The sequence below is a fragment of the Homo sapiens genome, chromosome 5 (assembly GCF_000001405.40).
Source record: "Homo sapiens chromosome 5, GRCh38.p14 Primary Assembly".
Classification (NCBI taxonomy): Eukaryota; Metazoa; Chordata; class Mammalia; order Primates; family Hominidae; genus Homo; species Homo sapiens.
The window spans coordinates 151,701,514-151,726,586 of record NC_000005.10 but is presented as its reverse complement, the minus strand read 5'-3'; the positions used below and the strand labels follow the sequence as shown (position 1 = coordinate 151,726,586).

The 25,073-nt window shown below is 43.5% G+C and overlaps 1 pseudogene, besides 10 other annotated features; it reads left to right on the top strand.

Moving 5' to 3' along the window:
* Positions 4,293 to 4,493: a silencer, noted in NCBI's record as "peak5544 fragment used in MPRA reporter construct". NCBI's record gives its function as "represses an SCP1 promoter by STARR-seq MPRAs in K562 erythroleukemia cells {active_cell/tissue: K562}" and the evidence as "EXISTENCE:reporter gene assay evidence [ECO:0000049][PMID:32103011]".
* Positions 4,832 to 4,881: an enhancer, noted in NCBI's record as "active region_23464". NCBI's record gives its function as "activates an Ori minimal core promoter by ATAC-STARR-seq in GM12878 lymphoblastoid cells {active_cell/tissue: GM12878}" and the evidence as "EXISTENCE:reporter gene assay evidence [ECO:0000049][PMID:35858748]".
* Positions 4,902 to 4,971: an enhancer, noted in NCBI's record as "active region_23463". NCBI's record gives its function as "activates an Ori minimal core promoter by ATAC-STARR-seq in GM12878 lymphoblastoid cells {active_cell/tissue: GM12878}" and the evidence as "EXISTENCE:reporter gene assay evidence [ECO:0000049][PMID:35858748]".
* Positions 4,953 to 5,153: a silencer, noted in NCBI's record as "peak5543 fragment used in MPRA reporter construct". NCBI's record gives its function as "represses an SCP1 promoter by STARR-seq MPRAs in K562 erythroleukemia cells {active_cell/tissue: K562}" and the evidence as "EXISTENCE:reporter gene assay evidence [ECO:0000049][PMID:32103011]".
* Positions 5,232 to 5,491: an enhancer, noted in NCBI's record as "active region_23462". NCBI's record gives its function as "activates an Ori minimal core promoter by ATAC-STARR-seq in GM12878 lymphoblastoid cells {active_cell/tissue: GM12878}" and the evidence as "EXISTENCE:reporter gene assay evidence [ECO:0000049][PMID:35858748]".
* Positions 5,562 to 5,741: an enhancer, noted in NCBI's record as "active region_23461". NCBI's record gives its function as "activates an Ori minimal core promoter by ATAC-STARR-seq in GM12878 lymphoblastoid cells {active_cell/tissue: GM12878}" and the evidence as "EXISTENCE:reporter gene assay evidence [ECO:0000049][PMID:35858748]".
* Positions 5,984 to 6,093: a silencer, noted in NCBI's record as "silent region_16526". NCBI's record gives its function as "represses an Ori minimal core promoter by ATAC-STARR-seq in GM12878 lymphoblastoid cells {active_cell/tissue: GM12878}" and the evidence as "EXISTENCE:reporter gene assay evidence [ECO:0000049][PMID:35858748]".
* Positions 7,025 to 7,319: a silencer, noted in NCBI's record as "tiled region #9564; K562 Repressive non-DNase unmatched - State 13:Ctcf". NCBI's record gives its function as "represses a minimal TATA promoter and a strong SV40 promoter by Sharpr-MPRA in K562 cells {active_cell/tissue: K562}" and the evidence as "EXISTENCE:reporter gene assay evidence [ECO:0000049][PMID:27701403]".
* Positions 8,313 to 8,513: a silencer, noted in NCBI's record as "peak5542 fragment used in MPRA reporter construct". NCBI's record gives its function as "represses an SCP1 promoter by STARR-seq MPRAs in K562 erythroleukemia cells {active_cell/tissue: K562}" and the evidence as "EXISTENCE:reporter gene assay evidence [ECO:0000049][PMID:32103011]".
* Positions 15,061 to 15,160: a silencer, noted in NCBI's record as "silent region_16525". NCBI's record gives its function as "represses an Ori minimal core promoter by ATAC-STARR-seq in GM12878 lymphoblastoid cells {active_cell/tissue: GM12878}" and the evidence as "EXISTENCE:reporter gene assay evidence [ECO:0000049][PMID:35858748]".
* Positions 22,009 to 22,298, top strand: RN7SKP232 (RN7SK pseudogene 232; annotated as a pseudogene).

Genomic DNA, 25,073 nt, shown 5'->3' with positions numbered 1-25,073 from the left:
CCTGGAAACCAGTCTTTGTTTTCCCTGTCAACGGACCTGAAGCTATCTGGTTAGTCTTTTCTTTTTTTTCTTTTTTCTTTTCTTTTCTTTTCTTGTTTGAGATGGAGTCTTGCTGTCACTCAGGCTGGAGTGCAGTGGTGCGATCTCGGCTCACTGCAACCTCTACCTCCTGGGTTCAAGTCTCCCAAATAGCTGGGATTACGGGTGCCTGCCACCATGCTTGGCTAATTTTTTTTTTTTTTTTTAGTAGAGACGGGGTTTCACCATGTTAGCCAGACTGGTCTTGAACTCCTGACCTCAGGTGATCTGCCCGCCTCGGCCTCCCAAAGTACTAGAATTACAGGCATGAGCCACCATGTCCGGCCTGGTTAGTCTTTTCTGATTGGTGATCTCATAGGCCTTGTCTGTTAAACTAGCGTCAGCTTTGGGGAGTGGCTGCTTATCTCTTCAAGTTTCCTCTCCAGGAGGAAGGGTTACTAGGATCAATTTTCATATGCCAAACAATCTGTATTTAAGTCAGACCACCCCAAGTATATCCTCCAAGTTTGGTGAAAATCAGCCCAGCTATTTTCTTATGATGGAGTAGACAAGTCACAAACTTCATTTTATTATGTGGACAAATCCCCCCCTGCTCTGACCTTTGGGGGTGGGGGAAAGAGAGAGTAAAGAACTTAAAAAAATGAGAGCACACTCAGTTCACTGTTCTGTACTTGCCTTTTCCCCCACTTTTTACTGCACCTTGAGATAGTTTCATGTTTCGTATCAGTTCATATGGTTTTGCCCTCGTATTTAAAGTACAAATACTGGCCGGGTGTGGTAGCTCATGCCTGTAATCCCAGCACTTTGGGAGGCCGAGGTGGGCAGATCATGAGGTCAGGAGTTCGAGACCAGCCTGACCAACATGGTGAAACCCCATCTCTACTAAAGATATAAAAATTAGCTGGGCCTGGTGGCACATGCCTGTAATCCCAGCTACTCGGGAGGCTGAGGCAGGAGAATCGCTTGAACCTGGGAGGCGGAGGTTGCAGTAAGCCGAGATCCCACCATTGCACTCCAGCCTGGGCAACAGAGTGTGACTCTGTTTCAAAAAAATTAAATAAAAATAAATAAGTAAAGTACAAATACTGGTTGTTTTATTTGTGAATATATTGGCTTATTAACATGGGCTAAAATTAGTAATAATAATCTACCTATTCTTTCTAAAATAACATGTTGACTTCTGTTAAGTATAGGGTGACCAACTCATTCCTTTGCCTGGAATTTTCCGTTTTAGCACTTAAAGTCCTATATCCCAGGAAACCCTTCAGTTCTAAGCAAACTGGGATATTTGGTCACCATATTTAAGTTCCAAATAAACATTGGACAAGTTTGAATAGGAGGTGGCACATTTTAACAAAACAAGTAGTAATCTTGGTCTTTGCCCTAAAATGGAACTGTTAACCAAATACTGTCCATATAAAGTAAAGATTTTCTCAGAACTTGTGCTATTATTGTTGGGAGGTGCCTCACGCTTTTAGACAGCAGAATAGTATTCCATTGTATGACTTCACCATCATCTTATTAAATCTGTTCCTTACTGATGGACTTTTCGTGTCTTTCCAGTGTTGTGCTACAATAAACAAGTCTGCCATAAATGTCTTTATTCATCTGTTCTGTAAACTGGCAAATTCTGTGTAACAATTTGTTTTGAAAATAAGGTCTTCCTGCTAAAAACAAAACTCAAAAAGCCACAGGATTAAAGAGTCTTTCATCTTGGGCCTTCTGTGAGTCTCCTTTTCTTCAGGTGACTGACTGGGCTTCGCATGGGTGTAAAATGGGTTGGCAGCTAAGGCCTTGGGAAGAAAGCCCAGGCAAAGAGGAGAGGCTTCCTGGGGTGCATGAGGGAGAAAAACAGCCCACTGCTGTGGTTCCCAGCATGAGGGGGTTGTTTATCAAGGCGCTGGAAGAGGAGTTGGCTAGACTTTGAGAGGTCCAGTGTTGGCCAGGAGCAGGACTGAAAGACTGGAACCATTCAGCTGTCTTCTAAAAGGAGGAGAGAAAGGAAGGAAAAACAAGTCAAGACACACACTGGGTGGCTGCCGGCTGGCCAGGGCTCTTGGTACAATAAGTCTGGTGCCAGGCTGTAGGGCCCAGCCAGCTATCCCTGGGGAACCCATCCCAGACTGGTTTAGATCATTTCTGCAGTGGCTTCTTGGGGCTATTAGAAATGGATTTTTACAGAGTCAGAGATAATGCAGTACTTTTCCAGAGGGATGGCTACCTGGGCCAGAAAGGTGATTTTCCAGCCATGTTGTCTATCCTATGTGTATTAATACATCCTTTATCCATCAAAGAGGCGGCTAGTATCATTTGCCAAACTGTTTCGTGCAGAATGCTATTAGTGAAACATGAGGTCTCAAAGCCAAAAAAGTTTGAAAAATGCCAGGCCCATCAAAATCAAGCAAAATAATTTACTGTAGAAATTTGCAGATCCTTCAAGGTACTAATACTGTAATTGAGACTTTTCAAAAAGGAGATAAAGTATGAACTTGTTTCCCAAGTTTTTAGTCCTTGGAACACCTTTTTCTCCCCCACAGAACACACAGTCACATCTTTGCTAATGTTGTCTGCTAATTCTAACCTATAGGAAAAGGGAGAAGCCAATAGGCCTGACCCAAAAACTTCCAAGAATCTGAGACAAAGAAGGCTATGGAATCTGGCCAGTGAGCTATCTTGGACACTGCCATGTCCTACACAAAAGCATGACGGGCATCTGTCATAATATAAAATAATTGATTTTTGGCCAGGCGTGGTGGCTCACACCTGTAATCCCAGCACTTTGGGAGGCCGAGGGGGATGGATCACTTGAGGACAGGAGTTTGAGACCAGCCTAGCCAATATGGCCAAACCCCATCTCTACTAAAAATACAAAAAAATTAGCCAGGCATGGTGGCTGGCACCTATAGTCCCAGCTACTTAGAGGCTGAGGTGGGGGAATCGCTTGAACCTGGGAGGTGGAGGCTGCAGTGAGCTGAGATTGTGTCACTGCACTCCAGTCTGGGCAGTAGAGTGAGACTCTGTCTTAAAAATAAATAAATAATTGACTTTCATGAGCATGAAGGATTCTCCAGAAATTGAGTTAGGTGCAGCCGCATGCTGGTCAGAACAGTCTAGCAAAGATGGCAAAGAGAGCTGGGGCTCGCCTGCATCTCTGCATTTCACACCTCTGATCTCGAGACTCAGCATCACCCTTGGCCACAGTGATCTCCAAGGGCCTCTGTGTGTCAGGCTCAGGGCACACAGTAGCTATGGGGGAGATGCCCTGGTGCAGGGTTCTGAGGAGGCCTACAAAGATCACTTCATCCAATCGGCATCCCCACTGTGTCACTCTGTGTCTGACTCCATCTTTGCTGATGTGTTTGTGTTAAAATGCAAAGCCATCTGGGAAGAACCATTGTCAGAATCCTTGGTAGCATCCTTCCCCTGAGATTTGGGTGGAAAGAGGCAGGTTTTGTGTTTGTTGAAGATAAAATGTCCTGTACTAGAGACTGTATTTGCAAGTCTTTCCCATCCTTGAGCCATTGCACAAGGCTGGTACCTTGTATCTAGGATTGCTTCCCCTGAAATGGATTGGAAAATAAAATGTTAAAATGTTAAAAAGTCAGAGAGAACATGAGTTCTAGTCCACTCTACCTCTAATTTGCTGGTTGACATTAGAAAATCCTTTTGCATATATACATACATCAAAACATCATGTTGTACACCATAAATACATACAATTTTTATTTGTCAGTTTTAAAATAAGGAAGTTCTTTCCCCTCTCTGACTTCATGTTCTTCCTCTGTAAAATGAAGGGGTCAGACTATTTCAGTTATTGGCCAACTTTTTTATTAGAAGAAGCCTTCTGTCAAGCAAAGTCTTAAGGAGCATCTCAAATAAAACAGATAAAAGTAGTCTCTGACCAAAATGTTTTTAAGGAAATGTTATGTCATTACTGTATAACAGGATATGTTTACTATACAAATTGGGACAGAGGTTGCTTTTAGAAGCAAGGAGGTAGTTGTGATTGGGACAGGGCACACAGAGAGCTTCTGGGGTGGCTGCAAAATGTTATTTTTTGACCTGAGTGGTTTCCTTGACCTGAGTGGTTTTCCTTAGGGTTATTCAGTAAGCTATTTTTATATTTATATTATGAATGCATTATAAAGTCAATTACTGAGAACACAAATGTGTCCATTAGATTTAGCTGCAAAAGGCAGAAAACCCCAAATAGAAGTGGCCTCAATAAGACAGAATTGTATGTCTCTTTTATGTAAATGAAATCTGGAGGTGAGCAGTCCAGGGCACTCACTGTAGGGAAGTGAGTCAGCAAGGTAACTCAGTGATCATCAGGACCAAGCCTCCTTCTCTCTATCAATTCAAAGTCCAAGATGACTGATTGAGTTCTGCCATCATGTCCACATTAGAGCTAGCTAGAAGAGGAATGAGAAGAGCATTCCCATTCACTTGAAGAAAACTCCCATAAGTCACACTCACAACCTTTGCTTACAACCCACTGACTAAAGCTTAACTGCACTGCCTTACCTATCTGCAAGGAAGGCTGGGAGATGTAGTTTAATCAGGGCACTATGGCCCCACTCAAGTGTAGTTTCTACAACAAAGGGAAAGGGGACCACTAGCAAAATCTGCCACAATGTATAAATGAATTTTGGTCTCTGATGTGTTCACATTTGACAGATGACTGATTTAGGTGTCTTTGTTGTTTTGCAGCCACAGTTTTAAATGCAGTCTCTGGTATACAAAATAAGGTGAATATTAATAGTTTGTGGAACTGCAGAAGTACAGAATGTGACTTAAAACCCCTGAACTAGAAACTCCCTGAGAGCTTTTCCAGCTTTGACATTCCAGAATTCTGTGGAAGTCCTGCCCACATATATGAGCTTACAGAGGTTTTCCTCTCTGGAGATTGGCAAGGGTGTTCTTGTTACCTTCAGGACTGAGAACTGTGCTCATTGTTTAAGTTAGCACAGCCCTAGCCAAGTATCATGAAAAGCGCTCTGTCATTCAGCAGTCTTCCCCCTTGGGCTGGGAGTTCCCCAGAGGTGGTATAGTTTACTGAGGCATTGAAAACTCAGGCATCCAAGCAGTAACAGCTTCTTAGTGGGGAGTGGCTCAGACTTTCCCTCCACAGTTTCAGAGATTGTTGTAGTAGAAGAGTCTACCCTTGATTCAACCCTTTTCATTTTTCAGAGGAGGAAGCATGGATCCAGAGAGGCTGAGAGATTTACTTGACGTGACCAGCAACTTATAGCAGGACTGGGCCTAGTACCAACTTGTTCTGATACTTTCTTTTTTGTCATTTTACAGATGAAACTGCAACCTAGAAAGGTAGCTTGCCCAGAGCCACATTGTTACTCAGAATAGATCAGAATTTGAATGCATACAATGCACGGCAGAGACTACACTTTAGCCTCTATGCTAAGAACTACTGCCTCCCACTGTGTGAGGACAGACTTTACTATGGGAGCAGGAACACTTCATCACACCACTTAGATGTCACATCCCTTCAGATCACCCTTTGCTCCAATTCTGTACTCCTTCATCAACCTCTTGATGTCTAATTCAACACCTTGGCATAGGGAATAATATGGCTTTAGGTGTAGAAACAAACTTTCTGCTAGTGCAAAAGCTCATCCTCCAGATGAGGGGGATGGGACATGTTGGTATTTTCCAGGAGCATCTGTCTTTCTCTGTGCAGCAATCCCCCAACACTGCAAACTGATCAGACGGAGCTTCAAAACCTGCAAAGGTTATGACCCTAGGTAGTGGGGACCACAACCTGTGGAGTCCTAATTAGGGAAAAGGAGTCAGGCTGGTGGGAGCAGGGGAAAGAAAAAAGAAAAAGTAGATAAGCTATACATCTGCCTTTCTTCATGGTCCAGGACACATAGCCCTCCTGTGCAAATAACTCACAATCTTCCTGTGCCCAACTATCACCAGACACCTCGGCTGATAGAATAATGTACATTAGCTCACTGCAACCTTGGCATTATCTGTACTGTACAAAGCCCTCTTCAGCACACAGCACAAGCACCATCCTAAAAAATCCCCAGCAAGCCTTTGACTCCTTGCAGTCAGCTACTCTCTTGCTGACTTACCCATTGCACCCTTGCAACATACTTTCATACTTCCTCTAACAAATCTGCTTTGCTGACCTACAACTGTCTTGGTAAATTCTTTCTACCACCTGCGTAGCACTGGCCCAAATAGTCACTACCTGAGACACAACTTCCCTGAAAAGCAGTGCCATCTCTGGGAGCTGCCCAAGCAACCTTCAAGTCTCTCTTTGCTGCAGCTTTCTAGGTTGTGCACAGTGGCACTACAGCAGCAAGGCCTTCCTGCCTGCTATCACTTACTTTTCCCTAGGCAAAGGGGCTGGGGGAAACATCCATTGGGTCTCCTGGACAACAGGAAAGTCTCAGGATAAGAGGCACTTTGGAGAATCACTGGAGCAACTCTAGCAGTTCAGCTAGTTGGCTCTTCAGGATTCTCCTTGTCCTCCAGCACAGAAGGCTTTTAATCCAGACAGAGGTGGAGGGAGGGTGGGATGAGCTAACGGGCCTGAGAGGAGACTTTGTATCTTAGAAGACATTCCAGAAGGACCTAGAGACAGAGGGTGTTGTTTTTGTCCTTATTCCGACAACTCTTCTGAGAGGATAGTTGGGGCTGGAGGATGCTGTGCAGCCTGTTTAGAGGGCAGGGAAGTTGAAACAGTGTGAGGGAACCAGTAGAGCTGACCTCCTGCCTCTGTAAAGAACATGACCCTGGGAAATCCCAAAGCTTCACATGGCCCAGTCTGTGAAGAGCCACATTGAAGAAAACAAAGTGTTACAGTTACAAATCATTTAAAAGTGCTACAATCTTCATTTTTATATCTCTAAGAGTATTAAAAGGGATCTAATTAATAATTCATAGAAAACTCCATTTCAGGCTGGGTGTAGTGGTTCACGCCTATAATCCCAGCACTTTGGGAGGCCAAGGCAGGAGGATTGCTTGAGCCCAGGAGTTAGAGACCAGCCTGGGCAACAGGCTCTATTAAAAAAATTTAAAAATTAACTGGCATGGTGGTGCACACCTATAGTCCCAGCCACTAGGGGGTGCTGAGGTAGAAGAATCACTTGACCCTGGGAGGTTGAGGCTGCAGTGAGCCATGTTCGTGCCACTGCACTTCAGCCTGGGCAACAGAACGAGACCCCTGTCTCAAAAACAAAACAAAAAACTCCATTTTGACCAGACACTGGTTCATGCCCGTAATCTCAGCACTTTGGGAGGCCAAGACAGGAGGATGGCTTGTGACCAGGAGTTCAAAACCAGCCCTGGCAAGATAGTGAGACCCTGTCTCTACAAAAAATTTAAAAACTAGCTGAGCGTGGTGACATGTGCCTGTAGGCCCACCTACTTGGGAGGCTGAGGCGGGACGATCACTTAAGCCCAGGAGTTCAAAGTTATAGTGAGCTATGGTTGTGCCACTGCATTCCAGCCTGGGTGATAGAGCAAGACTCTGTCTCAAAAAAACAAAAAAACTGAGATCTTACTGATTCCAGAATTTTCTCATGCTCACATTGATGCTTAGTCTTTCCCCCACTCACCTCCCTGGCCCTCTCCAGGAAAGAGAAAAAGTCTTGAAGAGGCCCAGCCCCTTGAAGAATGTAGTTCTTCACATGCCTCAAAAGAGTAAGGGCCAACTACAGTTTGCTAAAAGTTGGAGGAGCTTCCCCTACATAGTTTGGCCACAGAGTCATCCAAATTATTTTTGTGACCCAGACAGCAGCCCCAGACACTGCATCAGCTCGGTTCTGAAGCCAGAAGAAACTTTCTGCTCTCCGTAAGGCTCCTCTTCACCCCATTACATTCCTTTTCTCTCTCCACCTCCTGCTTTAATGTTCCCCTGCAGCCACACGTAAGGAATATCATCTTCTTTCTCTTAAAGGGACAATTATCGTTCACCTTGTCTCATAGATGTGAGACATTTACCTGTTGAGTAAACAGGATGTCTCCTCCGAGTCAGAAATGGATTTCTTCTGTTGAAAGGGATAGAAAACCCAACCCAAACCAGTATAAGCAAAAAGGCTTATGGAAAGAAAAAGTCCAGGAGCAGGGCTGTATATTACATAGGATTGCACTCTGCTGTGTGTCACAGAAACCTGATTCCAGCAGCTTTTATACCACTTTGCAAGCAATCTGGCCATCTGAGGATGACGCTGGGTCCATGCCATCATCAGGCTGCAGTTCCTTCTGTCAGCCTTTCCTTGTGGATTCCATTCTCCTGTGGCTCCACTTTGTCTTACATATGCCATCCAAGAAGGAAGAAGAGGGACAAAAAGCAAAGTCTCCCTCTTTCACAAGCTTCCCCAGAAGCTCCATGCACTGATTTCTGCTTACAAGTTCATTGGTGAGAAGCATGTCCCATGGCCTCTCTGCACTGCAAAGGAGTCTAGAAAGATTAGTATTTTGAGATGGACACAGAGCTCCCTAAGCAGAATTGAGGGTCTGTTGATTAGGCAGAAGAGGAGAATGGATGTTGAGCAGACAAATAACAGTGTCTGCCCCAGGCTAGCTTAGGGGCTTGGACCAGTGTCCCATGAGTATCTTTCTGTGTCTCTGTCTCTATCTTTGTCTTTCTCTCTCTCTCTCTCTCTCTCTTAGTCTCTCTTTCTCTGTCTCTCTTTGTCTGTCTGCCCTTTTCTGTCTGGCTCTGTTTCTCTCTGTTTCTCTGTCTCTTTCTCTTTCTCTCTTTCTGTTTCTCTGCTGTCTCTGTTTCTCTCTGTCTGTCTGTCTGTCTCTCCACTCTATTCTCTTTCCTGTTGGCTTCATGTTCATGCAGCCTTCCCCTGTGGTCTCAGGGAGGCTCCTGCTACTTGGGATCTCACATGCATTCCTAGTCAAGCCCAGGAGAAGGCCAGATTCTCTGTTGCAGTCCTATATCCCATCTCATGTCCGTCCCTGAAAGAGTTACTGTGGCCCTGGGGAATGGCATGGCGTAGGCTAGTCACATGCCCTTTTTCTAAGTGGGGCTAAGAGTGTAGGAGAGGGTATTGCCCAAGAGGAAAATCAAGGCACAGTTCCCGAGAAGGGGAAATGGATGCTGGTGGCCCCAAATCAAACTCAATAAATCATAAACAAACATCTACTGCAGAATCTTAGACATCATCCTATTAAGAGATATTTAAATCACTGAAAGTGTATCAGAGCTTCCCTAAACATTTGGTTAAAATAATGTTGGTTTTTTTTTTGTTTTTTGAGACACAGCTTTGCTCTTATTGCCCAGGCTGGAATGCAATGGCACAATCTTGGCCCACTGCAACCTCCACCTCCCGGGTTCCAGAGATTCTCCTGCCTCAGCCTCCCAATTAGCTGGGATTACAGACGCCTGCCACCATGCCCAGCTAATTTTTTTGTATTTTTAGTAGAGATGGGGTTTCATCAGGTTGGCCAGGCTGGTCTTGAACACCCAACCTCAGGTGATCCACCCGCCTCAGCCTCCCGAAGTGCTGGGATTACAAGCGTGAGACACTGTGCCCAGCCTTGTTTTTGTTTTGAGACGGAGTCTCATTCTGTTGCCCAGGCTGGAATGCAGTGGTGCAATCTCAGCTCACTGCAACCTCCACCTCCCGGGTTCAAGCGATTCTCCTGCCTCAGCTTCCCAGGTGGCTGGGACTACAGGCGCGCGCCACCATGCCTGGCTAATTTTTGTATTTTTAGTAGAGATGGGGTTTTACTGTGTTGGCCAGGATAGTCTCAATCTCCTGACCTCATGATCCTCCCGCCTCGGCCTCCCAAAGTGCTGGGATTACAGACATGAGCCACTGTGCCTGGACTTATTCTCTGTTTAATTGCCAATGCATTAAATATTGACAGATTAAAAACTACTAAATATAAGTTTATTGGAATTAATAATAATTTTTAAGGAAATAAAGGGACTCTGAGACCAAAAGTTTAAGAACTACAGTTTTAGATACGAGGCTTGCTTGGAAATCTTAAATAAGGAGCTACAGACACACTTATAAATGTTACATATCAAATTTTAACATACTTGCCTAGACGAGGTGGCTCATGCCTGTAATCCCAGCACTTTGGGAGGCCAAGGTGGGAGGATTGCTTCATACCAGAAGTTCAAGACCAGTCTCGTCAACATAGTGAGAGCCTGTCTCCATAAAAAATAAAAAATAGTAGGTATGGTGACACAAGCCTGTAGTCCCAGCTACTCAGGAAGGTGAAGCAAGAGGATCACTTGAGCTCAGGAGTTCGAGGCTGCAGTGAGCTATGATCACCCCTGCACTCCAGTGTAGGCAACGGAGTGAGAGTCTTAAAAAAAAAAAGTATCTGAAGGCTTCATCAGTTTAGCTTTTCTATCAGTCAGGTTCAGCTGTAAGTGACAGAAAACAAAACAGCAATGTCTTCAACAATACAAAAATTTGTTTTGGCCTCACACAAATAAAATTTGGATGCAAATAATCAAGGGCTGAGATTGTGGTTCTGGGTTCATGAGAGATCTAGACTGATTATATTTTGTGGCTCTGCCACATTCAACATGGGGTTTAAACCTCATGTTCCAAATGGCTATTCAAACTCCAACCATCTCAGTTGCATTCTGTCAGCAGGACATTTCCCAGAAATTGCATATAACACTACTGCTTATATTCTTTTGGCCAGACTTAGTTAAATGACCATACCTAACTGCAAAGCAGATTGGGGAATGCTATTTTAAAATTATGTTTTTCATGCACCCAATTAAAAATCAGGATTTCTATTGCTGGGAAAGAAACGTGTATAAAATGTGAGAGGTTGGGGGTCAACTACTCTGTCATCTTTGTGCTATCAGGTTAACACATGTTTGTGCAGATCTTGGAATAAAGCTTCTCTTTTATTCTCTGCTAAAATGCAATATGCTGTGTTGCAAGGTGAGCTATTTGTAAACAGTGGCCATTTACAACTGCATACCTATAAGTTGGTATTTTCTCAGTATCATCTGATAAAATAATTGTTGTGCAATAAATTGGCTGCTGAGGCTGATCCAAGCTATAATTGTCATCCAAACTCTGGTTTCAATTCAAGTTTTCGTGATCATTCTTCTTATTGACTGGTTTTAAAAAATATATAAAATCATATGTTTTTGGCCAGGCAGTGGCTCACACCTGTAATCTAAGGATTTTGGGATGCCAAGGTGGGAGGATCACTTGAGGCAAGGAGTTTGAAACCAGGCTGGCCAACATGGTGAAACCCCGTCTCTACTAAAATATACAAAAATTAGCCAGGTATGGTAGCGCACCCCTGTAATCCCAGCTATTCCAGAGGCTGAGGCAGGAGAATCACTTGAACCTGGGAGGCAGAGGTTGCAGTGAGCAGAGATCACACCACTGCACTCCAGTCTGGGTGACAGAGTGAGACTCTGCCTCAAAAACAAAAACAAAAAACTAGAAAAGCAAGAGCAAACCAAATCCAAAATTAGTAGAAGAGAAATAATAAAGATCAGAACATAAGTAAATAAAATTGAAATGAAGAAAACAATACAAACGATCAACAAAACAAAAAGCTGGCTTTTTGAAAAGATAAACAAAATTGATAAACCTTTAGCCAGACTAAGAAAAGAGAAGACTCAAATAAATAAAATCAAAGATGAAAAAGGCTACATTACAACTATTACTACAGAAATTCAAGGGATCCCTCCCCCTCCCCCTCCCTCTCCCCACGGTTTCCCTCTCCCTCTCTTTCCACGGTCTCCCTCTGATGCCGAGCCGAAGCTGGACTGTACTGCTGCCATCTCGGCTCACTGCAACCTCCCTGCCTGATTCTCCCGCCTCAGCCTGCCGAGTGCCTGCGATTGCAGGGGCGCGCCGCCACGACTGACTGGTTTTCGTATTTTTTTGGTGGAGACGGGGTTTCGCTGTGTTGGCCGGGCTGGTCTCCAGCTCCTAACCACGAGTGATCTGCCAGCCTCGGCCTCCCGAGGTGCCGGGATTGCAGACGGTGTCTCGTTCACTCAGTGCTCAATGTTGTCCAGGCTGGAGTGCAGTGGAGTGATCTTCGCTAGCTACAACCTCCACCTCCCAGCCGCCTGCCTTGGCCTCCTAAAGTGTGGAGATTGCAGCCTCTGCCCCGCCGCCACCCCGTCTGGGAAGTGAGGAGCGTCTCTGCCTGGCCGCCCATCATCTGGGATGTGAGGAGCCCCTCTGCCCGGCTGCCCAGTCTGGGAAGTGAGGAGTGCCTCTTCCCGGCCGCCATCCTGTCTGGGAAGTAAGGAGCGTCTCTGCCCGGCCGCCCATCGTCTGAGATGTGGGGAGCGCCTCTGCCCCGCCGCCCCGTCTGGGGTGTGAGGAGCACCTCTGCCCGGCCGCGACCCCGTCTGGGAGGTGAGGAGCGTCTCTGCCCAGCCGCCCCGTCTGAGAAGTGAGGAGCCCCTCCACCCGGCAGCCGCCCCGTCTGAGAAGTGAGGAGCCCCTCCGCCCGGCAGCCACCCCGTCTGGGAAGTGAGGAGCGTCTCCGCCCCGCAGCCGCCCCGTCCGGGAGGGAGGTGGGGGGCGCCTCCGCCCGGCCGCCGCCCCGTCCGGGATGTGGGGGGCACCTCTGCCCAGCCGCCCCGTCTGGGAAGTGAGGAGCCCCTCTGCCCGGCTGCCACCCCATCTGGGAGGTGTACCCAACAGCTCATTGAGAACGGGCCATGATGACGATGGCGGTTTTGTCGAATAGAAAAGGGGGAAATGTGGGGAAAAGATAGAGAAATCAGATTGTTGCTGCGTCTGTGTATTAAGAAGTAGACATAGGAGACTCCATTTTGTTATGTACTAAGGAAGATTCTTCTGCCTTGGGATGCTGTTGATCTATGACCTTGCCCCCAACCCTGTGCTCTCTGAAACATGTGCTGTGTCCACTCAGGGTTAAATGGATTAAGGGCGGTGCAAGATGTGCTTTGTTAAACAGATGCTTGAAGGCAGCATGCTCGTTAAGAGTCATCACCACTCCCTAATCTCAAGTACCCAGGGACACAAACACTGCAGAAGGCCGCAGGGTCCTCTGCCTAGGAAAACCAGAGACCTTTGTTCACTTGTTTATCTGCTGACCTTCCCTCCACTATTGTCCTATGACCCTGCCAAATCCCCCTCTGCGAGAAACACCCAAGAATGATCAATTAAAAAAAAAAAAAAAGAAAGAAAGAAATTCAAGGGATCATTAGTGGTTACTATTAGCAACAATTCACCAATAAATTGGAAAATCTAGAAGAAATGGATAAATTCATAGACACATACAACTTACCAAGATTGAACCATGAAGAAATCCAAAACCTGAATAGACCAATAACAAGTAACGAGATCAATGCCATAATAAAATGTCTCCCGACAAAGAAAAGCCCAAGATCTGAAGACTTCACTGCTGAATTCTACCAACCATTTAATGAACTAATAACAATCCTACTCAAACTATTCCAAAAAACAGGGGAAGAGGGAATACTTCCAAACTCATTCTGAGGCCAGTATGATCCTGATAGCAAAACCAGACAAAGACATAGCAAAAAAGAAAAGTAGGGCCCAATATTCCTGATGAATATTAATGCAAACATCCTCAACAAAATACTAGCAAACTAAATTCAGCAACACATTTAAAAGATCATTCATTATGACCCCGTGAGATTTATCCCGGGGATGCAAAGATGGTTCAGTATATGCAAATCAATCAATGTGATACATTATGTCAAGAAAATGAAGGACAAAAGCAATGTAATCATTTTATAAATTTCAACATTTCTTCGTGATAAACACCCTCAAAAAATTGGGTATAGAAGGAACAAACCTCAAAATAACAAAAGCCACATATGACAGACCCACAACTAATATACTGAATGGGGAAAAACTGAAAGCTTTTTCCGTAAGATTTGGAACACGACAAGGATGTCCACTGTCACTACTGTTATTCAACATAGTATTGGAAAGTCCTAGCTAGAGCAATCAGACAAAAGAAATAAAGGGTATCCAAATTGGAAAGGAAGAAGTCAAATTATCCTTGTTTGCAGATGATATGATCTTGTATTTGGAAAAACATAAAAACTCCACAAAAAAACTATTAAAGCTGATAAATTCAATAAAGATGCAGGACACAAAATCAACATACAAAAGTCAGCAACATTTCTATATGCCAGCAGTGAACGATCTGAAAAGAAATCAATAAAGTAATGACATTTACAGTAGCTACAAATAAAATAAAATACCTAGGAATTAACCAATAAAGTGAAAAATCTCTACAATGAAAACTATAACACACTGATCCAAGAAATTGAAGAGGACACCAAAAAAATTAAAAGATATTCCATGTTCATGGATTAGGAGAATCAATATTGTTAAGATGTCCATACTATGCAAAGCAATCTAGAGATTTAATGCAATTCCTACCAAAATACCAATGACATTCTTCACAGAAATAGAAAAAAAAGTCCTAAAATTTATATGCAACTACAAAAGACCCAGAATAGCCAAAGCTATCCTAAGAAAAAGAACAAAACTGGAGCTCTACAGTACAATTATAGTAAAACTATAACTCTATAGTATACTTCAAACTGACTTTAAATTATACTATAGAGCTATAGTTACCAAAATGGCACAGTAACAGCATCAAAACAGACATATAGACCAATGGAATAAAACAAAGAATCCAAAAATAAATCCATACATCTACAGCAAATTCATTTTCAATGAAGGTACCAAAAACATACATTGCGGAAAGGACAGTCTCTTCAATAAATGGTGCTGGGAAAACTGGATATCCACATACAGAAAAATGAAACTAGACCCCTATCTCCCACATTATACAAAAGTCAAATCTAAATAGATTAAACACTTAAATTTAAGACCTCAAACTATGAAACTACTACAAGAAAATATTGAGAGGCCAAGGCGGGCGGATCATGAGGTCAGGAGTTTGAGACCAGCCTGACCAACATGGTGAAACCCCATCTCTACTAAAAATACAAAAAAATTAGTCAGGTGTGGTGACAGGTGCCTGTAATCACAGCTACTCGGGAGGCTGAGGCAGGAGAATCGCTTCAACATGGGAGGTGGAGGTTGTGGTGAGCCGAGATCGCTCCACTGCACTCCAGCCTGGGCGACAGAGTGAGACTCCGTCTCAGAAAAACAAAAAATAAAAAATAAAAAAATAAAAGATCTGAATAGACATTTCTCAAAAGATGACATACAAATGGCAAACAAGTACATGAAAAGGTGCTCAGCATCACTGCACATCAGAGAAATGCAAATCAAAACCACAATGAGATATCATCTCACCCCAGTTAAAATGACTTTCATCCAAAAGACAGACGATAATAAATGCTGGTGAGGATATGGAGAAAAGGGAACCCTCATATAGTGTTGAAGGAAATGGAAATTAATATAACCACTACGGAGAACAGTTTGGAGGCTCCTCAAAAAATTAAAACTAGAACTACCATAAGATTCAGCAATCCTACTCCTAGGTATATACCCAAAAGAAAGGACATTAGTATATGGAGGAGATATCTGCACTCCCATGTTTACTGCAACACTATTCACAATAGCCAAGATTTGGAAGCAACCTAAGTGCCCATCAACAGACATGGGGATATTTAAAAGTGTGGTACATACACACAATGGAGTACTATTCATCTATAACAAAGAATGAGATCCTGTCATTTGCAGCAACACAGATGGAACTGAAGGTCATTATGTTATGTGAAATAAGCAAAGCACAGAAAGACAAACTTTGCATGTTGTTACTTATTTGTGGGAGCTAAAAATTAAAACAACTGAACTCACTGAGATAGAGAAGGATGGTTACCAGAAGCTGGGAAGGGTAGTGAGGGAATTAGGGGGAAGTGGAGATGGTTAACGGGTTTAAAAAAAAAAAAGTCAGAATGAATGAATAAGGCATATCTGCTAGCACAACAGGGTGACTAGTAAAAAATAATGTAATCGTACATTTGAAAATGGCTAAAAGAGTATAATTGGATTGTTGTAACACAAAGGATGAATGTTTAAGGTGACGGATACCCCAGGTACACTGATGTGATTATTATGTATTGTGTACCTGTATCAAAATATTTCATGTAACCCATAAATATATTCACCTACTATGTACCCACAAAAATTAACAATTAAAAAAACCTCTCCTTTCTACTATTTTGTGTCCTGGTGGTCTTTTGGATGGCAATATAAACATATATACACTTACATACATTTTAAGTAAATTTTAAAACACATAAAATAATATTTTAGAAAGCATATAAACATAACAAAATAAATTTAAGTTGATAAAATATGACTACTTTTAAAAATGGGATTCTGTGTATAATTTCATTTGGAATTGGGAAACTATTATTAAAGAGTTTGATAGCTGTGATCTTCTTCAGGTCCCAGACTAATAGATGTGTTTTGTTTGGATATCACTTTATTGTTAAACATTCTGAATTTGAATGTCTGTAGACAGGGCTGCTACTCTTCAGTTTACCACAGGCTCTACCTTACCCTTTTTGTTCTTTCCCTTTTATTGATACATAATAATTTCCATATTTGTGAGGTACACGTGAGTGTTTCTTACATGCAAAGAATGTGTAATGATCAACTCAGGGTAATTGGGGTCTCATCACCTTGTGTGTTTATCATTTTTATGTGTTGGTATTATTTCAAGTTCTTTCTTCTAGTTCCTTTGAAATATACATAATATTGTTGCCAAGTATAGAAGTATAGTCACCCTAGTCTGCTGTCAAACATTATAACTTGTCTCTTCCATCTAACTCTGTTTGCACCCAGAACCAACTTCCATTTATCCCCCACCCCCCGCCACCCCCACTCTTCCCAGTCTCTGGTGTCTATCTTCCCCACCTTCTTGTGTGAAACTGGGTTACATTACCAAATCTTAATGAAGTGGCATCGTTTGTCTTGGGTAAACACCTGAGGTTCATCATCTCACGCCAAGGAAATTGAGTACATGGACACACAAGAAGTAGGTTTAGGAGCTGAGATGTAATAGGCAAAAGTAAGAGAAAGGAGAATAGCTCTCTATCCTGTGAAGGAGAGAGGTGCCCCAGTGGGACTTCAGCTGCGAGGAGTGCACCAGATTTTATAGACTGGCTTGAGGAGGCAGTCCCTGATTTACATATTGCCCACAGATTGGTTGGATTCGGTATGACGTTTACATAGCGCTAGGAAGCTGTCCACCCGACCCTAATCTTGCTTATTACGCAAATGAGCTTGCCACTTGGTGGGCGCCATGTTGTCTGCTCCTTACCGCACACGTGGTTGGCAAGGAAAAGGAAAGATGGAGCTGTCATTTTGAACATGCCTAGTCCCCAGGTAGCCCTTTCTTGCTGGCACAACTGCTGGCATTCACTCGTGCAAGCTTCTAGCTTGCCTTTGAATGTCTGCAGCTCGATTTTATAGGCTGCTCTTTGTTAGAAAAGAAAATGATTTGTGGGCTGCTTTTCATTAAAAGGATGAGGAGGACTTCCATATCCTCGCTATCTACTTAAAATAATTTATTCTTAACTCCTATATCATTAACATCTGCCTTATCCCTGGAGACACCTGAAATTTCTATCAAATTATACAGAGAGGAAAAAAACTTGTCTAAAGCCCAACAAGTATTTGTTAACTTGAAAAAAACCAAGGTGGCTAAGTGCTCTTATAGGGAATAATCTCTAAAGTGAGAATCGAGTACAGGCTGATCATGGCGGGAGTTGAGGTCAGATGTTAGAGGGTCTTGGAGGTGAGCTGAGAATTCTGGCTTTGACCCCATGGGGAATGGGAAACCACTGAATGTTGAATTGTAAAGGATTTAGAATGGTTAGGGAGGTTCTAGGAAGTGCCTCTTTAAAACCAAAGGTAAAATAATTTGTTCTAGATGAGATTAGGAGAACTAGGACAGGTTAAAGCAAGGCAGGTAAGTATGCCCTGTGGTTAGTATTAATGGAGAGAAGCACTGGGTGTGTCTGCCAAGGGAATTTGGGAAAGTCTTCAAGAAAAACTATGGGTTAGATCCATTCTAGCATGTTAGCTGTGTTTTTTGTTGTTGTTGTTTGTTTTTTTAGTGGTTATTAGTATTCCAAAGAACATTCATAAACAAGAATTTAACTGGTTTCTTGGGAGCCCCAAGCAAGCCCCAAGCATGGGCCATTCAACCCAGAGAATGACTCATAGGCCATAAGCTAAATGACCAGGGCCAAGGTTGGGTTTGCTGGGTTCTATGGGGAGGATAAAAACAGGAGCCACAGAGAATCAACAGGAAGGTCACACTCCAGGATGCCTGGGCAAGCCAGGAAGTTGCTTAATTGGGTTGAGTGGACAAGAGGTAATAAAATCACTGGTATTTATTGAGGCTTTTTTATGTGCCAGGCATTGTGCTAAACCTTTTATAGGAATTTCTCTTCCTGAATCTTCTCACTACTGTATAAGTATAGGCACCATTGTGCCCATTCTAAGAAGGAGAAAACTGGGATAGAGAAGTTAAAACCATTTGTTCTTTGAACTGATTCCTGTTGATGGGATAAATTGAAAAGTATAATTGGATTTTTAATGCTTCTCTCCTCAGAGGAAATGAGAAAGTTTGGTATCTTTATTCTAGTACACACTTGCAGTGAAATAGTGAGATAAGAAAGGTAGTGGGCTGGTGCCTTTTGTCCCTTGGCATCCATTGATCCTTCCTCCAGTAACAGCACCTGGGTTTCCCTCTGCAGGACCACTCCTCCCATGCTCAGGGCCTGTGTTTGTCTCAAATGACTCTACCCCCAGCTTCAGGGATAAGAATGTCCTGCAGCCTGGACAGTTCGTGCATTGCATTCTCTGTCCCAGGGAGGCAACAGCTGTTCCTCCCAGCTGTTCTAAAACACAGATGGCCTGTGGAGGAAGAGTCAGGACAATTAAATAGGCACGAGATCTGGGAGAAAACAGCTCCATATTTTTTCCAAACTGTGCTACTAGGCCAGTATCTATTTTTCTGAATAGCTAACATTCTCTTAGAAATGGTACATTTATTGTAATCTCCCAGCACTTTGGGAAGCTGAGGTGGGTGGATCACTTGAGGTCAGGAGTTCAAGACCATCCTGGCCAACATGGTGAAACCCTGTCTCTACTAAAAATACAAAAATTAGCTGGGTGTGGTGGTGCATGCCTGTAGTCCCAGCTACTTGGGAGGCTGAGGCAGGAGAATTGCTTGAACCTGGGGGGCGAAGGTTGCAGTGAGCCGAGATCATGCCACTGCACTCCAGCCTGGCAACAGAGTGAGACTCCATCTCAGAAAAAAAAAAAAAAAATGAAATGGTACATTTATAGCTAGACCATAAGCTCTATGTAGGCAGGGAGGTTGCCCAGCTGCATCCCAGCACCCAGTACAGTAAATGGTAGGTGTTTCATAAATGATTGTTGGATAATTGAATGAGTCAGACACTTATTCATTATTTACTGAATCACAGCTTCAGAGAGGGAGACCTAGAGGTCTTTTAGTCTAACTTCTCCCACTTTACAGAAGAAGGAACCAGGGCAAGGTGACTCCTAGTGAGATCATAACTGAGTGAGAATTAAATTCCATGTCTCCCCTCCCCAATCCCTGGGTTTACAATACCAGGCTTCCCAAGGTAGAATGCTTAGCATATTTTTGTTGGGTAGATTATTTCAGCATTATATAACACTGAATCCACATAGTGACCAAATTGTTTCCTTTTAAAGTCTTTTTATTTTTCTTTTCTTTTTTTTTTTTTTGAGACGGAGTCTCACTCTTTCGCCCAGGCTGGAGTGCAGTGGCACGATCTTGGCTCACTGCAACCTCCACCTCCCAGGTTCAAGCAGTTCTCTGCTACAGCCTCCCAAGTAGCTGGGATTACAGGTGCCCACCACCACGCCCAGCTAATTTTTGTATTTTCAGTAGAGACAGGGTTTTACCATGTTGGCCGGACTGGTCTTGAACTCCTGACCTTGTGATCCACGTCTCTCGGCCTCCCAAAGTGTTAGGATTACAGGCGTGAGCCACTGTGCCTGGCCAAGTCTTTTTTTTTTTAGACAAGGTCTTGCTCTGTCACCCAGGCTGGAGTGCAGTGAATGGCTCATTGCAGCCTCCTACTCCTGAACTTAAGGGATTCTCCTACCAGATCCTCCACAGTAGCTGGGACTACAGGTGGGCACCACCAGACTTAGCTAATTTTCTTATTTTTTTGCAGAGACAGGGTCTCACTGTGTTGCCCAGGCTGGTCTTGAACTCCTGAGATCAAGCAATCCTCCTGCCTTGGCCTCCCAAAGTGCTAGGATTAGAGGGGTGAGCCACCATGCCTGGCCTGCACTTGCACTTGACTAGTCTTAAAAAAAAAAAAAAAAAAGAATAAAGAATAGCCTTTTCCAAGGCTTCTGATCATAAAGAGGAGAAAGTCTTAGTTTGGAGCTAATAAGTTGCTAACACCTTTCTAACACTTGCTAATCTTTCCTAGAGCCCTCACAACTAACAGCATTAATTAATTAATTTTATTTTATTTTATTTTATTTTTAGATGGAATCTCGTTCTTTTGCCCAGGCTGGAGTGCAGTGGGTGTGATCTCAGCTCACTGCAACCTCCACCTCCCAGGTTCCAGGGATTGTCCTGTCTCAGCCTCCTGAGTAGCTGGGATTACAGTCGCCCGTCACCACGCCCAGCTAATTTTTTGTATTTTTAGTAGAGATGGGGTTTTGCTATGTTGGCCAGGCTAGTCTCAAACTCCTGACCTCAAGTGATCCGCCCGCCTCAGCCTACCAAAGTGCTAGAATTACAGGCATAAGCCACCATGACTGGCCCTAATAGCATTAATTTAATTTGATATTGTTATATTGTTTTATAAATATTTTCAAGCACACCCCAAAGAGAATAATATAATTAAGCTTCCATGGACCATCACCTAGCTTGAATTACTATCAACCTTCTATCAGTTTATTTTACATACCCACCCCCATCACATACCTTTTCCCAGGAGTAATTCAAAATAAATCCCATATATTATATCATGATACCCATAAATATTTCAGTATCTATAGCTAATAGATAAGGTCTTTCTTTTCAACATAGCCACATCGCCCTCATCTCATCTAACAAAATTAAAGTAGTTCCTTAATTAGCCATCTGTGGTGCTGCACGCCTGTAGTCCTAGCTATGGAAGGCTGAGACGGGAGGATTGCTTGAGCCCAAGAGTTTGAGGTCAGCCTGGGCGACATTGCAAGGCAAGGCCTCTAAAAAAACAGGAGAAAAAAGTAATCCCCTAATATCATTCGATACTCAGTCTGTGTTCAAATTTTCTGTTTTCTGAAAAATGCCTATTTAAATTTAGTTGCCTTGAATCAGGCTACAAAGAAGCTCGTGCTTTACACTGTATTCTTTTTTTTTTTTTTGAGACAGAGTTTCACTCTTGTTGCCCAGGCTGGAGTGCAATGGCGCGATCTTGGCTCACTGCAACCTCTGCCTCCCGGGTTCAAGGGATTCTCCTGCCTCAGCCTCCCAAGTAGCTGGGATTACAGGTGCCAGCCACCACACACAGCTAATTTTTGTATTTGTTAGTAGAGACGGGGTTTCACCATGTTGGTCAGGCTGGTCTTGAACTCCTGACCTCAGGTGATCCACCTGAAGTGCTCCCAAAGTGCTGGGATTACAGGCTTGAGCCACCACCGCGCCCGGCCTACACTTTATTCTTATGGTTCATTTAATCTATTAGAGATCCTCCCTTCACTCCCCACCTTTTGTCATGCCATTCATTTATTGAAGAAATCATGTTATTTGTCTTGCAAAATTCACCATATTCTGGTTTGGCTGATTTAATTCTTGTGTTTTTAGACACATTTCTCTATTCCTTTGTATTTCCCATAAACTGGTAGTTACACTCAGGTTAATTTCTTTTGCCATAAGTACTTCCTATGTCATGGTGTGCACATTTTATTACATCACACCATGAAGAACAAGATGTCTCTTTGTCCCACACTTAGTGATGTTAAGATTATTGAATTCGGATGTGAGGACGATCTGGCTACGATATGTGTCACCTCATTGACCGCCAGGGTTGATTTGGCTGCTCTGGCTGGCTAGGCAGGTGTCCCTGTCCTTCCTCACCACTCCATGCACGTCCCCCTGAAGCTGAGTGCTAGGTCTGAGAGGATGACCATCCCAGACAGAGCTGGACTGGTCTTCAGTCAAGGGTGTACAAACAGCTGCACTCCCCTGCTAGAACCTCCAAACAAACTATCAAGATTATTGAACTGGTTCAAGTACTGTTGTCCTGGCCCATCCATTACATGGTTCCTCATCGACCTCTCATTCCTTAATCGTTACTTTGACCCATTACTCTTAGGGGCTGCAAAATGTTGATCTTCAATTTCTAACAATGCTTCCTCAATGTTTTAAGGAAGAACTTCCCCTTGAGAAAGAAAAGTAGCTCAGAGCTGTCCAAAGAATGTGGAGTGTGCAAAATTTATCAGGCTGTGAGAGACCATGAGTATGAGACAGTCTTGACACCCACCCCCTTCCACTCCCATTTTCCAGGGACAATTGTTTAAAGGCATTTTTTTCTTTCTTTCCTTCACCAAAGCTTCCAGACTAGTTGATAAATAACCTAAACTGTTACCATAAGTTGCACTATGTGACCTTTACCCATTATCTTTATGTTCCTGGAATTTGTGGTGCAAAAGAACGTTGTATAGCCAATCAATAGCTTATGTTATTTTAATGTAAATTTAATTATACAAAACACTTAATAGTTCCAAAGTTAAAACTATATAACAAAGTAATCAGAGAACACTAGCTTTTTATCAACAACATTTTCTCTCTCCCTAAGGTAACCATCTCTATTAATTTTTAGTTTTACCTTTCAGTTGCTTCTTTTTGGGTATGTGAGCAAATGCACATGTGCATGTTTTTATTTTTCTCTCTCTTGCAGTCTAAACATTGCTCTGCACTTTGTTTTTAATGGTTTGTTCACTTTTTACTAATATTCCCTGAAGCTCATTCTATAGCATTATATAAAAATTATTCATCCCTTTTTACATTTGGTTAGAACGTAATAGCATAATTGTATTATCACTGTCAATTACTTTCTCTTTATGACAAGTGTATCAGCCAGGTTCCTGGCAGAAAACAGATGGCACTTTCAAAATGGGTAATCTGAGAATTTCATCAAGGGACTATTTATAAAGATGTGGGCCCTGTGTATGTAAATCACAAGGACAGTGCAGTCCTCTAGGGACAGCTGCAGCAAGGTGCCTGAGGGGTAAGGGAGAGTGGGTACTAGAACCAGAGAGAGGGCCAAGGAACAGGAGCTCAGCCCTTGGGTTGAAGAACACAGCCAGTCTGCTGTGATCCTCTAGGGAAGGGGATGGGGAAAGAAAGATTCTAACTTCACTCTTGTTTCTCCCTCTTCCCAGTCGCCTACTGATGCTCCCCACTGGCCAATCCCAGATGGAAACAGAGGCCATGGGAGCTCATGGGTGTGGGCCATAAGGTCAGCCCCTCTGGCCTAGAGAGCAGTTGGGGAGGGGCAGAGAGTGGATCTGAGGGGATATGTGGACACACTTGGCAAATTATACTCTTTTTTCAGTGTTATGATATAAGGTTTTCTTTAAGTTAAATTTATTTAGATTAAAAAAAAGTTGAAATTAAGTAATTCTGTAGGTGTTATGAGGATATGGCAACAAAGGTAAAGATGGTACCAGATGACTGAAGTCTCAGAAGTCCTGCTCTGGACCACTACTCCTTCTATTTTAGATATTGGCCTCCCCTCCCTCCTGCCCCTTCCCTGGCTGCCTTTCCCGTGGCCCTTTGAGAGCCTCTGAGAAACATTACGGAATGATATTTTTAATTGGAAAGCACAGGAGAGGCCCAGAAGAGTCCTTGGGTGAAGGGGTTGGCGAGCCTCTGAAATGGATCTATATACTCCCGGGCATCCCACGGCACCGGGCCCCACCCAGACCCACTCCCGTGGCTGCCCTCCCATGAGCACAAGGTGGCTTTCTTATTTTTTGGCCAGCTGAGCGGCTGAGGGAAGCTGGATGCCGCCTGCCTTTGGGGCCAAAACTCTGGGCTGGAAACTGAAAATGACCTTAAGGTGTAAATATCCCAGGCCTGGATTCAGTCCAAGCTGCACTTGGCCCTCACAAGCCAGTCATATAGCCTGAGGGGCTAAGAATGATCTCAGAGAGCCAAGTGCAGTGGCTCACGCCTGTAATCCCAGCACTTTGGGAGGCTCAGGCAGGCAGATCACGAGGTAAGGAGTTCGAGACCAGCCTGGCCAACATGGTGAAACCCCGTCTCTACTAAAAATACAAAAAAAAATTAACTGAGCATGGTGGCACTCACCTGTAGTCCTGGCTACTCGGGAGGCTGAGGCAGGAGAATCGCTTGAACCCGGGAGGTGGAGGTTGCAGTGAGCCAAGATCATGCCACTGGACTCCAGCCTGGGCAACAGAGCGAGACTCCATCTGAGAAAAAAAAAATTGTCTTGTGTGTTTATTTATGGGCCTGTTCTCTATTGCCTTCTCCCCAGAATGTAAGTGCCATGAAAGCAGGGACCTCGTCTGTCTTTGTCTCCACTGTAGCTCTTGTGCCTCACACAATACCTACATTTGTTTCACAGTGATGATGTTTCCATTATCAATAACTCACCATAGGAATTTTATATTTGTTTTACCATAATTTTAAAAATCAGCCTTAATAGTTACAAAAATTAGAAAGTTTAAGAAATAATGTTACAGTTAATTTTCAAGAATTTTACTGACTCCCACAGCGCTTGGATTACAGGTGCCAGCCAGTGTACCTGTCCTTGCTTTCTTGATGTTTTCTCTCTCTAGTGGTTTTGCTTCTTTCACAGTCTCTCTTTGCCTTTCCCTCTATGACTATTTTAAAAATGTAAAATGGGCTGGGCATGGTGGCTCACACCTGTAATCCCAGCACTTTGGGGGACGGAGATAGGAGGATTGCTTGAGCCCAGGAGTTCAAGAGCAGCCTACGCAACATAGTGAGACCCCCTCCCCCGCATCTCTATAATAGTAAAAAAATAGCTGGGCCTAGTGGTGTGCATCTGT